Genomic DNA, 16,653 nt, shown 5'->3' with positions numbered 1-16,653 from the left:
CTATAAGAAACAGTAGAAAATGAAGCAAAATGTTACCCGCAGTCACTTCTGGAGTCACAATATAACTAGAGGTAAGAGCATATTCATTCATCTGGAGCTATAACATATTGTTTAAAGTGGGGGCATGAGAATCAGCTTGCCTATGTTTACATCTCAGCGGTGACACACATGACAATCACAGCTTAGCTTTGGAACCTTGGGCAAATTATTTTACCTAAATCTCAAGACTCCTCTTTTGTAAAATGGAAGTTAAAAACATCTACCTCTAGCCTGGAAACATAGTGAGACCCTGTCTCTACAGAAAATAAATTAAAAAAAAAAAATTATCCAGGCATGATGGCACGCACCTGTAGTCCCAGCTACTCAGGAGGCTGAGGAGGAAGAATCACTTGACCTCAGGAGGTTGAGGGTGAACTGAGCCATAATTACACCACTGCACTCCAGCCTGGGAGACAGAGCAAGACCTTGCCTTTAAAAAAAAAAAAAAAAACCTGCTTCCAAGACTTGAGTATTAAATAAGATAACACAGTTTAGCAGTGTCAGGCACATCATCAGTGTTCATTAAATGTTGGCCATTATTATTACCTCTAGTTGCCAAAGTCTTGTCTAAATAGATCCCTTAATATTTCCTACAATGCAATCACTTACAGTTTACATTTCCCATTTTCTTCAATACCCTTTTGCCTCAAATAGTTTTAATAAAAGTTTATTTCACTTCTCAGCAAATTTCTTTAGATTTGAAGCTACTATGTATGTTCAGCCCTATACGGTTCCAACATTTTCAACTGAAAATCGACGTCAGGGCTCAAAAGAAAGACATTTCTGGGGAAAGAATTATAGTAACTGACATCAGGCCAAAATGCCATCCACCTCTCATCATTTGGACATAGGTGTATGTGTTACTGTAGTGCTCTTCCTTGTTTTTACTTTTCATAGAGCAAATAAAATAGAGCCAATGCCTTAAAAAAAAATGGTTGTTTTTAAGTTATCCTCATGCTCACATGAACATCTGCTGGTCTTTCTGTTTAAATCAAAGAAAAAGTAGTGCCAATGTCAGATTTTAAAGTGAGAGACCATTTGATGCCCAAAATGAGACCTGATTCCTCACCACTACCTATTCTTGTACAAAACAATAAATGGTTCCCTGCAGGACACAGTCTACAGCTCACCTACCCAACTTAATAACAATCTTATCGCCAACAGTACCTTGAGCAATAGATAGCATCAAGAAGTGGCTCTGTTGTAAATTTAGGAACAAAATTAAAGGTCCTAGGGAGACATTTTCCACAAGCACATCCAGACAGTGAAAAGGTACAGTCACATTCGGACAGGTTTTTACTGCTTTATAAGTATCTCTCTCCCTGAAGCAACTCAAAATTATGACTGCCTCAAAATAAAGATTTGTGTAGTTATAACCAGTGCACCCAGACTCTAATATATCAATAGGCATTCACTCAGGCTCTTCAGAGCAGGAAAGTCATTGTACTGCTACATCCCAAAGTTTTCCAAATACAACCACCAAGGGGAAAAAATAAATAAATAAATTACTCTCCCTTATTCAAAGGCAACACATCCAAAGACTATCATTTCGTAACTTTTCGGGTGGCGTAAGTGAGATGATATGGTATAAACTCACTAAGCTGAAGATTCTGAGATCTGAATTCTACTCTCAGCTGCATGACTTTCAGTTACTCACTTAACCTCAGTTATTCTCAAGTTGAAATTCAAAGTTATTTGGTGTGAATATCCTCAACAATTCTTCATCTAAAAAGTTATGTTATCTCCATCATCTAGTCTCCTGCTTCAACAACAATTATTATCATTTCTATACCAGTTAGGACCCTATCAATCTCAAAGAACAGAAAACCCAACACAAACTCAGCAAAAAAAAAAAAAAAAGAAGAAATTTATTGTCTCAAGGAACTAGAATAGCCAGAAGTAGAGTTCATTTCTGACACTCAGGCAATGCCTTCACAACCTGATACTTCTCCCTTTTCCCTCTCTCTTCTCTTCTACCCCCAACACACTCAGCTTGCCTCTCTTTGTATTTTCTTATTCTCAGGCTTCCCGTTGATGGCCAGATAAGTTGTAGAACCACTCTCATCCTTCATCAGCCCCTAGGTTTAAGCACAAAGAATCTTTCTCCTACAGCTCAAACAAAAGCAAAAGCTGTGACTGGCTTCACTAGAGTAATGTGCCCACCTTGAACCAACCATGTAACTAGGGGAACACAATCCTGAATCCTGAAGCAAAGTAAACACCACCCCGTAAGCACGGACTAAAAGTAGGAAAGGAGTGAGTCCCTCCAAGCAAAAACACAGATGTTCTCTACACCTTCTCTTATCCAAGGTAAATGCCTCCCTGTTCCCATTTCCTCCTCCCATCTGCATTATCTTCTTTTAAAACCTAATCATCCCCTTAAAACCCTCACCTTGATGTTTGGCACATCAACCATATTCTTCATATAGGTGAGAAATTACTTCGTCTTTCTTGTCTCCTAAATCCAGTCAGTCACCGATTCTCAAAGATTCCACCTCCTTATGGTTCTTTTTTCCAATCCTCTTCCTCTCCAACTGCGACTCCTTTAGTTGAGGCCTCTGAATTGCTCTTGTATGGATTCTTGTGGCTATGTCAACCCATTTCCCTACCTCCATTCTCATACCACTCCAATCTATGCTTCATACCATCACTGTCATCTTTCTAAAGTTCAAGTCTACTCTTATTCTCCTTTCTTCATATTCTTTAATGTATGCTTGTTTTCAGCACCATAAAAACTATCTTATTTTTAACCATCCTCATCTAGTAATTCAATCATGCCAACTACTTGCAATTTCCAAAATGCTGTAAGCTGTTTCACACCTCTCTCTTTTTGTTCACATTGCCCTGCATACTGGAATTTACTTAGGCTAATCTATAGATTCATGGGTTCCACCTACTCTAAAACACTTAGGAGAACAAGATTCAGCTAGGCATTTCTATTCTTAGGAAACCTTTCCTGAGGTACCTAGTAGGACTTCTTGCTTTGTGCCCACACTATACCAACAGTTTCTCTTACAGCATCTATGAAACTTTACTGCATTTACCTATTTTGAGTACCTATTGAATGAGACTTGTTTTATTCCTATGGTACTCAAAAGCAAACGTGCATTAGAGTCATTTGAAAAGCTCTGTAAAAATACAGATGCCTGAACTTACACCACACCAAATATACCAAACAAGAATCTCCTAGATTTGGGGCCAGGCACGTACACTGTGAAAAAGCTTCACAAACAGATGATAATCTGCCTAAGAAAACCAATTCCCACTAAATATATCCAGCACTTCAAATTGTTCCTGGCAGTAGAAAAACAATAAATGTTGTAGAATGAATAAATAGGCAAATGAATAGTAAGTCTTACATATTGCTATTAATGATAGTCAACAAAAATCACCTAATGGAAGAAAATGAATGCTAACACACCATTTTTGAGCATTCTAGCTAAATATTTTTTCAAGACACTGGGGTAGAGGGATAGAGAAACGAACAAATGAAGAAATTACCTGAATCACCTTTTTCTCTGATAATGAGAACTAAACATTATCCTGTAAGTTCAACTGCTAAAGCCAGGGATAATAAATGTTTCTGATTATAGCATCAAGATACTCTATGGTTATGAGTCAGACTCTGAATAGTACTTGCTGATTGTTAACAATGAGTAAAATTAATACTGCCTTTTGCATGAACATTTTATGCAGTAAGAATTAAGATACATGTGAAACATGACTATGACATGAATTAAACTTAGGCAAGACACAAAGAAACAGAATTATCCCTACATCAAAATTCAATTTAATGAATATTTTCTGCCCACCTTCAGGGCCAGACACTAGTTTAGTTGTACTAGTAAGGTGAACAAGAGGCAAGTGGCTAGCCTCAGGATGCTAAGAAACAAATATTAATATATTGCAGCTAAAGCACATTAGTAACATTGATCGAACCTACATTAAATAGAATTGAGACTCCCAAATGTTTTATATGTATTCCATCATAACCTTTAAGTCAGACTAATATTATTATTTTACAAAGATTTTTTAAAAGAAACCGAGGCATTTGCCTGGTTTGAAAGAGCACTATCCAAAGTTTTCCTCTTCAAAAACTGTATAAAGTGTGAACAGGCTTTAAAAAAGAAAAAGTGCCAGTGAAGCAATTTAATTCACCATATAATACAGGAGTCTGAAATATTTTGCCCAAGGACCCAACCCAGCCAAAAGAGCTTCCATTCTACACTCTAGTCAAAAAACAAACCAATAAAAATTCCTAGATGGAGCTAAAGTCTGGGTATTCCTGAAGTTGCCTCTTTATCCTACCTGTATTAGAAAAGCAAGGAGCAAATAGAAAAAAATGAAATACGTATTAGAGGAGACATAAAAACTTTCCCTCAGCCAACATTTCTATTCTTTTCTCCACAGAGACAGGCAAACCTGGCACCAAATTAAAATGGGGTATGGGGGAAGGAGGACCTAAGATAAACTTTCTTTCTTAAAAAATAAAAAATTCTGGCTGGACGTGGTGGCTCAGGCTTATAATCCCAGCACTTTGGGAGGTCAAGGCCGGCGGATCACTTGAGCTCAAGAATTTGAGACCAGCCTGGGCAACATGGTGAAACCCTGTCTCTACCAAAAATACAAAAAATTAACCAGGCGTGGTGGCAGGCACCTGTGGTCCCAGCTATTCAGGAGGCTGAGGTGGGAAGATCGCCTGAGCCTGAGAGGCACAGGTTGCAGTGAGCCAAGATAGCACCACTGCACTCCAGCCCGGGTGACAGAGTAAGACCAAAAAAACCCAAAAAACCCATTAACCAATTATAATCCCAAGTTCCACTCTCCTGTGTGTTTGGGGGGGGGGGGGCAGAAAAATAAAGAATGAAACAGAATAGTAGGAAAAAATGACATCTTGTTCTACAAGAGAGTTAGTAAATGATTACAGGATTCACAGAGGCTCCAAGTTTTGTTTCTGACCCTGAAGTACAAACTCTTGGGCTGATGAAAGATAAAAACATAATTCAAACCATTAAAAGCAAGAGCAGTAGGCTTTTCTTTGAAGTGAAACTTTTGCCCTCTTAAGTGAAACTGTCCCTTGATAATTAGGTTTATCCAAGTTTCACAAGTATTTCAACAGTAAATTCATCATAGCATGCTCTTTGGGCCATCTCATTTTAAAATATGCATTGTAATGAACACATATGGTGATAAAAGAAGGCCATTTTTTAAGAACCCAAGGGTCCAATTAGATTATGTAAATCTGAATTAGATGTACACATCAATCAGTCAACAGTGTTCAAAGCTTCTGGCAAAATGGCGGTCAGCACAGTCTTTGGGCATAGAAATAACAGAAATGCTACCTTAGAGGGATACATGTTTTCTTCCCAGTGTCATTACACATAAGATCAAAAGCTATAAACTAGTCATCCATGTTAACCTGTTATAAACAAGAAGTTATCACAGTCAGTTACGTATTCTTAAAATAATTTAAAGATTTTCTAATGACCAGAATTACTTTAATTCATTTCACTGCTGTAGGACAGTTATGAACATTCTTTGGTTTGGAGTTTGCAACAAAGTAAAAAGCCAGATATAATAAAAGCTGCACCTTAACTATATAATTATTCAGAATATAGATATTAATTGGTTTGTGTTCTCAAATTACCAACAATGGAGTTTAATAGGGCGCTGGTTCCCCTTCAGTGAGAAAAATAAAAAATTAACATTAAAAACAGATTCAGGCCGGGCGCGGTGGCTCACGCATGTAATCTCAGCACTTTAAAATATTTCAAATAAGTATTTTAGTGGTGACTGCTGTTTTGTAGGCACAAACTACAAAGAACTACAAACATACGTGCTTCTCCTTCTTCACATGAAACCTGGACTGTTGGTCAAATATACTCTCTGTTGGTCTGTTCAGATAATCCTAATAGCAAATAGCATGGCCTTCATTTGTAAAAGCGTCTTAAAGGGATTCTGTTATAAGTTAAAAGGTAAGGAAACACATTTTAAAACATGGGGAAAACTCCAAGACCTCAGAAAAGAAATACATTTGATTTAAATAATCAGGATATGAAGAAGAGACTTGCAGCGGTGGCTCACACCTGTAATCCTAGCACTTTGGGAGGCCGAGGCAGGTGGATTACTTGAGGTCAGGCATTCCAGACCAGCCTGGCCAAAATGGTGAAACCCGGTCTCTACTAAAACTATATATATATATATATATACAAAATTAGCCAAGCATGGTGGCATGCACCTGTAATCCCAGCTACTCGGGAGGCTGAGGCAGGAGAATTGCTTGAACCTGGGAGGCAGAGGTTGCAGTGAGCCAAGATAGTGCCACTGCACTCCAGCCTGGGCGACACAGTGAGGCTCTGTTTAAAAAAAAAAAAAAAGATATAACGAAGAAACAAAAAATACAGTGAGCTGAATTATTTTACGTTATCCATTATGAAACCTGTAATATGTTCCGTGATGACAAAAGTGATATGGTGTTTTCATCTTCTTTGTAAAGCCTAATACGTAAAGAAACCTAAACATAGCCTATGTAGTCACACAAACAAGATCAGCCTGTCAGACCAGAAGTTCCAAGAAGTATGAGCCCTTTAATGGAAAAATGCTGTTTTCCTAGTACTTGATATACAGAGACCATGAGGGAAAGTCAAAAGTAAAAATTCCCCAATAACATACTAAAACTACCTCTCCAAACTAACACTTAAGTATATTTCCCTCCATACTCTACCAAATAATATATGAATTTGACAAATACTAGGCCTAATTAGTTAAGTACAAATGAATTCAAGATTAGCTTAATTTTATTTATTTATTTATTTGTTTGTTTGTTTATGACAAGGTCTCCCTCTGTCACCCAGGCTGGAGTGCAGTGGCATGATCTCAGCTCACTGCAGCCTTGACTTACTGGGCTCAATCAATCCTCCCACCTCAGCCTCCTGAATAGCTGGGACCACAGGCGCTTGCTACCACACCGGCTAATTTCTGGATTTTTTTGTAGAGATGGGGGTTTCACATGTTGGGCAGGCTGGTCTCACACTCCTGGGCTCAAGTGATTCACCTGCTTCTGTCTCCCAAAGTGCTGGGATTACAGGCATGAGCCACCACACTTGGCCCAAGATTAGCTTTAAAGCTAAAATACCTCATGTTCTACTCATATGAGATGTTCTTATAATACACCTCACAAAAAGAAAATTTCACTGTTATTAACCAAAACTGTTGTTACTTAAATCTTTACTGTTCTCTTGAGGAACACAATTCTGAAACTACTAAAATAATGTCTTAATTTGCTTTTAGAATTCCAGCAAAATAAAGTCTGTGTATATGTGTTCATTTATGCTCCTAAACTGAGCATAATTAGGGAAGGTAACAAAATTTGGAGAAATAAAATAACTTATAACTAAGAAGACAATGTTATTAAAATCCATTTTTAAAAACAGTGCTCTAGTATATCAGAAAATTGAAATGTTTAGGATATGCTGGGCCCTTATATGTTTCTTCTGTTTACCAGATTACTAGAAACCACTTTTAGAGTCAGTTTGATCCACTTTGTTGATAAGAAAATGCCTCCAGGGTCCACTAAAGGTTTGGCTATGCCAAAGTTTAAAGAAAACCAACAAACCATATTGCTACCTTTGTTATTTGTACATATCAAAGTAGTATCCTCTGAGGGGAATGTCAACAACAAATGAATTCTCTCAAAACACAAGATTACTTTTTTTCTCTAATGTTCCTGTGGCAACATTCTCAAGAATAAAAATGTTAACAGGCATCATTTTCCATTCTTACCTAAAATTTAAACACTATAATTTAAATTGAGAAATATTTGTAACATTATAACTATATAAAATTAAAACAAAAAGCAAAGTAATAATAAGCCAAAAACACTGTTTTCTTTTCTATCTGATCCATGATGGATGTTCCCCAAACATCTACAACAATTCTAACAACCAGAATTCTAACAACCTAAACAATTCTAACAATCAAAATTAAAGATGAGTGCCCAACCATTTGTTCTTCATCTCATATTTTTTTCTCTTCTCTATTTTCCGGAAGGAAAATGCCAGAACAGATTGTCCAGAATGACAGAAAAGGTCAAAATACTGCTAATGTTAAGTGTTATGTTAGAAAATATACTGAAAAAAAAAATGACACACAAAAGAATTTGATACTACAGATACTGCTCCTTTTCAATGAAGATTTTGCATTATTCTATGCAAACAAGAATAAAATGTCAATTACAAAAATAAACATAACTCCTGTTAATGAAATAAGTATCTACCATCTGACAGCAAGAAGTGGGCAAAGGTAACACCATCTTGCAAATGATGCTTTCATTATTTCATTGCTCATCACAGTGCTCCACTGCACACACAAGGCCCATCCTCACTGTAGGTGAGTCAGCATGAACTCTCACGACTGTCACTTCAGTCATTCACACCAATGACCACCAGATCTTGAAATGTATCACTCAGGACAGTTCCTCCTCTAAAACTTTAAACTCTCCCAATACTACCTCAATACTCCCAGACCTCTGGCTCTTTTACTCCCATTAAAGAGCTTTTCTGCAATTCACCTGACCTCCTGCTCTTCCATTTTCCCCTAGACCATCAATTCACTCCCGTCTTCACTTCCTTCTAAATTCTACTGAGACCACAGGGTCCATGAATGACATTCCTGTCAAGACTTTCCACTCCCTTGCTCCCCTGTCCTTCTGTTCCACATCCTAACAAAGACCCCAATCCTGGAGGGCTGCCATCTCCACTCCTACTTCTACACCTTGACCTGTCAAGCACTATTAGAAAAACAAAAAGAAGGCATAACCCTACACTGCCTAGCAAGTTTCCTCATAAATCTCTCTTTAGAACCCAGATTTCAATGGGATGAGGAGGGAATGAAAGTTATATAGCAGAGGCAGGGAGTTTAGAGGAGTTTACAAAGAAGTCTGGAGATAAGGGGAAGCAAAAGGCTGGTATCTAGAGAAAACAGAAGGGAGAAGTTCGAGAATGCTGAAGTTTAAGAGGGCTGGTTACTAGGGAAAGCTTGGAGATGAGAAGATAAAGGATGCCAAACATTCTTACAGAGGCAGAAAAAAATGGATAGGATCCACTGCTTCAGATTTTAAGAAAATAATATATGTGTTTCAGTAAGAAGAATTAATTGAAAAGGTTTTCTCACCCCAGGTACTTATCTCCGGTGCAATCCAGAGTTTAACTTTTCTCATAATAAAAGCCAAAACTCCGAAATGAGACAACATGGGTTTAAATCCTAGTTCTTCTACTTTCTCATCATGTGATCCTAGACAAGTTATTTTCTCTTTCTGTACCTCAGTTTCCTCATCTGTAAAATGGGGATAATTATAATACCTACATAATAAAGTTGTTATGAAAATTAAAGGAGTTAATACATGGAAAATACAAAGCACTTGGAATAGCAATTGGCACATAATAAGCACTGTATATTAAATGTTACCTATTATTGTAGTTAAAAGACTGAAATGCTCTTAGATGCTCTTGTGTTTGTTCAGTACTACAAGGAACATACTCCCCTCAACCGCCTTATCCCAACCTAATTCCTATTATCCCTCAGCTCTGGGGATCTTCTTTGAGAAGTCTTTCTTGACTCTTCCTCTCCCTCCTCCCCACAAACTACTGGGTTAAGTGAACCTATTCCATTACTTCCATAGCATACAGGATTTATATCCTTCACAGCATTTATCACAGGGTATTATAATTTCAGTTGACTCATCTGTTCCTGCTCCTTGCCTCCCTTTCCCTACCGAACTGTGAGTTCTTCCAGGATAGGAGCTACCTTTTCTATTTAAAGTTCAGGGGGCTGTTAAAAATAAGTCCAGCAATGTATGCAAATCAGTGTAACACAGTACCTGATGGAAATTAGACGATAAAGCCTTAGATGATTGTTTTGTGCTTTCTTGCAAGGTATAACAAAGCAAAACAAATTCATCCATTAAGTTCATCTACTAACTTGCTGTCTTGTCTATCATGAATAAATGTGATGCAGTTAAACAAGTAAACATAACTACCCACTGAGTTCTTAAAGGGCACTGTACTCAAAAGAATAATCACACATCAATTTCCTGCAATGCTTTTTTAAATTCAGAACATTACTCACACAATTCTTTCCAAAATAAATCTGATAACAGGTTAAAAGGAGTAAACTGCTGTATACTCTGTAAAGAAAAATACATTAACTTCCAACTACACACCTCTTTTCACAAACCAAAGATCATTCTATTATTAGAAAAAGATACTTCCCCCTCACTGGTTATGAGAATCTGACTAGTGTCCATTGTTGTTTTATCTCTCTGCATGCAACCTTAAAAAAGTTAAACATGGCAAAATTTAAACATTCAAAATCTGCACAGTTTGATTGCATGGTATAAATATTCTACTTGTACTTTTTGTTTAATATTTAAGCATACCTTTTCAAAGGTACATATGTAAAACACGTAGAAAAGCCAAGCTAGGTTTGTCTTTTCCAATAAGTCATAAAGACATATTCCACTTACCTTACTGACCAACAACAGAATTCCTACACCAAAGTTAACAGTATGGAATAGTATGTATACTGGATCATTGTATTATAGACAGAATTTTAAAAAAAAACTATAAACAGGTCAATGTTCCAATTGATAGAAGCCTAGTAAGTACTATATAGCTCAAAACTGAAACTCAAGTGGGGATGGATATTTTCAGGTTTGAAACAACAACAAAAAGAAGCTTTGGATGAGGAAAAAGTTGGGTAACGAGGAAATTTAGGTAAAGATTAGAATATATGCCATTTTAGAAGAATCCTTTACAAATCCAAACATTTTAAAATTCGGAGATATAAAAATTGTATCACAGGCTGGGTGTGGCAGGTCACACTTGTAATCCCACAGAACTTTGGGAGGTCGAGGCAGAAGGATCACTCAAGGCCAGGAGTTTGAGACTAGCCTGGGCAACCGTCTCTACAAAAAATAAAACAAAATTATCCAGGCATGGTGGCACACGCCTATGGTCTCAGTTACTTGAGAAGCTGAGGCAGTTACATCACTTAAGCCCAGAAGGTTGAGAGTGCAGTGAGCCCTGATCTCACCTCTGCACTTCATCCTGGGCGACAGAGTGAGACCCTGTTTCTTTAAGGAAAAAAAAAAAATTCAATCACACACACACACACACACACACACACACATATATATATAACCTGATTTACTTGTAAAATTACATTTAGCATTAAACTCTATAGCACGTGGTTCATAGTTACCAATTTATTTATATCCTAAAGCATCTAAAAGTATAAACTAATCGATTTACTGTCTATGGGATTACTGGGTCAGTTTCATTTTGATGATTTTTAAAAATACAGTATTACTCCTTCCATAAAGTACATAGGTATATAATAGCTCATTTAACAGTTCCATTTAGGTTATTTCCAAATTTCACCTTTTTAAAATGAAGGACAGATAAGCACCTTTGTTCATAGCTTTTTCCAAACTTAAGGAATTTCCTTAAGGTATATGTTTTAAGTCACTACAAAAAGACTGCACAGGTTTACACTTCCATTAACAGATATGAGTGTCCAATTTACTGCATTTGTCAGTCAGCACTGAAAATCATCATTATTTTCATTTCTTACAATCTGATTTTAAATGTTTCTCAGTGTTAATTTATACTTCTTAGATTATTTGTGAAGCTAACAATTTTCTAAGTTCACTAAAAAATTTTATAATAATAATTTCATTCAATATTTTTTAAGCAAAGACCTAAAGAGAAAAGTAAAACACACAGAAATCAGAAACAAGGAACAATATAGAAGATTAAATGAGCATATATTTCGAATGTAAATATGTAAAGTTATTCAACTGAGGCATAAACTTGGCACTAAGACTCCTGGTGGCTAAAGCAAAGAAGAAAATGTTCTAAACTTTGCTTTAGGAGGAAAGGGGGAACAGCAGCATTTGATTTCTCAAGAAAAGCAAAACTTTTTTCAGGTATTTAGGATTTGAAAGAAATCTCCTAGGTGGGTCTTCATGAAAAAAAAATTCAAAGTGACTTAAGGACAACCTTCTCAACAACAATAAATCTGATAGAAGGGCTCATTTGTTGTTTAATGTTCTATCATTATTATCATTACTTCTATTTTTGTACATGAATCTTAGATATTACAATACAGTTTAACTGACATCAAATTCTTCTCAATAACCTTGCTTATTTTTAGATTTGTAAGCAGAAATAAACTTAGATTTTCAGAAAGTATTTTTTTGTCTGTCCATTTAGTAAGGACTGAGTATGAAAAACATAGCTTCTTGTTCAGACTGAATGACTACCATAAACAATAAAATCCTATCACAATTTTCAGAAATTATTTGAGTTGAGCCACGGACAGTGGCTCACGCCTGTAATTCCAACACTTTGGGAGGCCAAAGCAAGAGGACTGCTTAAGCCCAGGAGTTTGAGACTAGCCTGGGCAATACAGTGAAACCATCTCTACAAAAAAAGTTTTTTTTTTAATTAGCTGGGCCAGGTGTGGTGGCTCATGCCTGTAATTCCAGCACTTTGGGAGGCTGAGGTGGGCGGATCACCTGAGGTCAGGAGTTCGAGACCAGCCTGACCAATGTGGAGAAACCCCGTCTCTACTAAAAACACAAAACTAGCTGGGTGTGGTGGCGCATGCCTATAATCCCAGCTACTCGGGAGCCTGAGGCAGGAGAATCACTTGAACCGGGTAGGTGGAGGTTGCAGTGAGCTGAGATCACACCATTGCACTCCAGCCTGGGGAACAAGAGCAAAACTCCATCTCAAAAAAAAAAAAAAAAAAATTAGCCAGGCATGGTGGTGGTGCACCTGTGGTCCCAGCTACTCGGGAGGTTGAGTTGGGAGGATCACTTGAGCCCAAGGAGGTAAAGGCTGCACTGAGCCACGATCATGCCACTTGCATTCCAGCTGGGTGACAGAATGAGACCCTGTCTCAAACAAAAAAAAAAAAAGAAATTTGAGTCACATAATAGCTTTTAGCCATTTTAACAACCATTCTAAAAATTGTTACTCAAAATTTCATTTTTAGAGTTGATTTCTAGAGTTTCCCATAAGGTAACATACAAAGATCCTTTAAAAAAAAGTTTCACTGAAGGGCACGGATTTTTTTAAAAAGTTTTATTTCTGCTTTGCAAGAATATGCTCCTATTCTCCTCTCTCAGACCTTTTATTTTTTCTAACATTCACTACTGTTCCTGTCATAGTTGTGTTACTTCCTAAAAGATGTTAGAAGACAGCTATGTAGTATTAAGATCCCTCTCTCCAGAAACTGAAGTTGACAAAAAGGGGAGGCTTTCCTGATTTTACCTGCACTCCCCATATACAGGCTTCCAAGGCCCAAGATCTTATCCTAGAGAAGAACTTTTTAAGGAAGGTATTATATCTCCCATACATGTTCCACCAATGTAACATACATTTAGATCAGCAGTTCTCTAATTTTTGGGTGTCAGGGCTCCTGTATGCTCTTAAAGCTTACTGAAGGCTTTCAGTAGGTAGGTGATAGGTGGATTTGTAAGATGGCCATCCAATGATTCATGAACTCCTGCTATTTGTACCCTTGTGTAGCCCCTTCCCCTTGAGTGTGGGGTGGACCAAGTGACTTGCTTCTAATAAACAGAATACTGAAAAAGGGATGAGATGTCACTTCTGCAATTAGGTTACAAAAGCTGTGACTCTGTCTTGCTAATACTCCTTTCCAGCTGGAACACTATCTGGCTCTTCTCATGTGCTTGCTCTGAAGCAAGCCAGAGAAGTCCACATGGCAAGGAATGGAGAACAGCCTCTGGCCAACTGCCAGGAAGAAACCAGGGTCCTCGGTTCGACCACCAGTAAGGAACTGAGTCCAGTCAACAACTGTGTGAGTGAGCTTGGCAGCATATGCTTCCCCAGTTGAACCTTCAGATGAGGCTGTAGCTCTGACCAATATCTTAATTGCAACCTTGTGAGGACCCACCTGAGCCATGCCCAGATGCCTGACCCACAAAAATTCTCTCCTTCTTCCTTTACATGCTATCTTCTAATCTAAAATGTACTCCCAATTCCAAAGTTCCTGAGTCCATATTCTCACACCGCTCCAGCCATTTGACTCTGTAAGCCTTTTACTACAGGAAGGACCTTTTGCTATCTCAGGTGTCCTGTGCTCAGGATTCTCAAGAGGCAGGATGAGTAGGAGATTGGCAATATGATTCAGAGTATGGGCAGACACAGCACAGTCTACTCTCGGTCCATTATCCATATTTGTGGAGGGCAGCTACGGATAAGAGGGGAAAAAAACAAATGGCTCTATGTAACAGGTGCTGAAATCTGGGTCCTGTACTATATTTATCAGTATGTTTGTGATAGTGGTCATGATGCTAATTACATGGGACATGTTATAATGAAGGCTGTCAATCCTGAAACTTAATTCAAGAAAAGAGTTTAGGCCGGGTGTGATGGCTCAAGCCTGTAATCCCAGCACTTTGGGAGGCCGAGGCGGGTGGATCATCTGGGGTTGGGAGTTCGAGACCAGCCTAGCCAACATGGCAAAACCCCATCTCTAATAAAAATACAAAAATTAGCCAGGCATGGTGGCGCAAGCCTGTAATCCCAGCTACTCGGGAGGCTGAGGCAGAAGAATCTCTTGAACCTGGGAGGCAGAGGTTGCAGTGAGCCAAGATCACGCCACTGCACTCCAGACTGGGCGACAAGAGCGAGACTCCGTCTCAAAAAAAAATAAAAATTAAAAAAATAAATTTATACCTGTTCATACTTACTTTTTCACTTTGAGAGTTCCAAGTCATTAAAAGGTTTGAAGATAATAAGAAATAGTTTACATAAATCGACAGATTCCAACGTGCTCAGCAATTATATACATTATCTCACTTAATCCTAAACACAGCTACATGAGGAAGGGCTTTTACAGTTAACTTCTCAGAGCCTAGATTTTCTTAAGTGCCTAAAACAATGCCTAATACAATAAGCACTGAAATATTTGTTGAAGGAATCAAGCTACTGGTCAGTTATTGAAACATTAACCGGTCAGATTCCTAGGCCAGTATTCTTAATTACCATGCAATAACGTCCCAAGTAAAAATATAAAACAGAGATATGAGTAGAAAGAGATGAGCATATAGTTAAGTAGCGGCACTGAAGAACAGTAGATTCTGTCTCAATTAGTAGACACTTGCTGAAAATTCAACTGAGTTAATAAAGGTAGAATTCATTTTGGGAAACAAAGGAAATAAGAAAGAAAGCGGGGGAGAGAGGCAGGTGGAAGGAGGGGGAGGGAGAGAGGGAGAATGAGAATATACGTATGTCTGTATACATTGTGTATGATTAATAGTTTTCTGAATTTTGCCCATACATATACAGATACAGCATTTATCCTACGCAAAAGGAGACATTATAAACACATCACTGTATCTGAAGTATCATTTTCATAGCAAGGCAGTAAGTTACAAACTCTGGAAGGTTCTTCATTTCTTGTTACTTTGCTAGTAAAAACAACATCTCACAATATGGAAAGTTTCACCCATATAAACAGGTTAAGCTGTGACTCCTGATTCGGGCTAATTTCACATAAAAGGTAAATAGGTAAAATTATGCCATGGAAGAAAGCATACATTTGCTTCTCTCAACTATCTTAGGGCAAAATCTTGTCAATTCTATAGCTAGATCATCCTGTGAGATGTGCTCAAACACTTAGTGCTTCAATGCGTCACCATGGTAAGAAAGCTGGTCTTAGAGTCTTTCTGTGATTTGGGTTTCTTACACCATGTTTTTCAAGTACCAGCTTTTATAGCTTTGCAGAATCATCAAGGGCAACAGGTCCTTCTATGTGTCTATAACAGGAAACACATTTTCCAAAGGTATACACTTCTTCTTGGTTCTCTTCTATCACTGCTCATAGTGCTGAAATTCTCGTGCATGGCATTTATTTTTTGACTGTCACTAAACAGGCCGAACAACTCAAAATTGCGGCTTTGAAACTCTGAAAACCAAAAGTATTAATATTGGTGCTTCTTAGTTAAACCATAATTAATGTTCACAATTACTTAATAAAAGTGTAAATGAACAAGCAGCACTTGGATGCTTCATCATCTTTAAAAATATTTTAGCACCTAACAGGTAACTTAGGTCCAAAATCCTGATAAAAGCAATTGGCAATAACAAAGCATTTCTACCATAAATATCTTCCTTAACCAAGGCATTTTTTTAGGCACTTAAGAAAACTTAGGCTCTGAGAACTCTAAAAATCCTTCCTCACATAGCTGCGTTTGTGATTAAATTAGACAATGTATCCTTCCTTTAGTCAACTAAAGTTAGCATGAAAACTGGAATCAAAACCCTCAAATTATTTTTAACACTACCACTTTCCAGTTATGTTAACTTTTTGAAATTACCTAACTTCGTTGTACCTCAGTTTTCTACACCTATAAAACACATAACAATGATGCCTACATAAGTGTTGACATGAAGATTAAACGAGACAATTCATGTAAAACATTAGAACAGTGCTTAGCATACCAAATGGGCTTCATAGGTGTTAATTAATATGCCTAATATTATAAACAAGCAAGTACAGTAATAAAAATAAACTGGAAAA

At 37.5% G+C, this 16,653-nt stretch overlaps 1 protein-coding gene and 1 long non-coding RNA gene across 11 annotated transcripts in view, besides 1 other annotated feature; both read right to left on the bottom strand.

Annotated features, from left to right (window-relative positions):
• The window catches only part of LOC124900412 (uncharacterized), a 52,839-nt gene extending 36,191 nt beyond the window's left edge, over positions 1-16,648 (bottom strand). The window contains exon 1 of the long non-coding RNA XR_007066718.1: positions 2,432-16,648. This is a non-coding gene — a long non-coding RNA (uncharacterized LOC124900412). The remainder of the gene's footprint in view (positions 1-2,431) is intronic.
• The window catches only part of POU2F1 (POU class 2 homeobox 1), a 206,461-nt gene that overhangs the window by 169,081 nt on the left and 20,727 nt on the right, over positions 1-16,653 (bottom strand). The gene's annotated exons all lie outside the window — the stretch shown is intronic.
• Positions 8,515-8,564: an enhancer, noted in NCBI's record as "active region_2037". NCBI's record gives its function as "activates an Ori minimal core promoter by ATAC-STARR-seq in GM12878 lymphoblastoid cells {active_cell/tissue: GM12878}" and the evidence as "EXISTENCE:reporter gene assay evidence [ECO:0000049][PMID:35858748]".

This window comes from Homo sapiens, chromosome 1 (genome assembly GCF_000001405.40).
Source record: "Homo sapiens chromosome 1, GRCh38.p14 Primary Assembly".
NCBI classification, from domain to species: Eukaryota; Metazoa; Chordata; class Mammalia; order Primates; family Hominidae; genus Homo; species Homo sapiens.
Note: the sequence above shows the minus strand (reverse complement) of the source record. Positions and strands in the feature narration are given on the sequence as shown.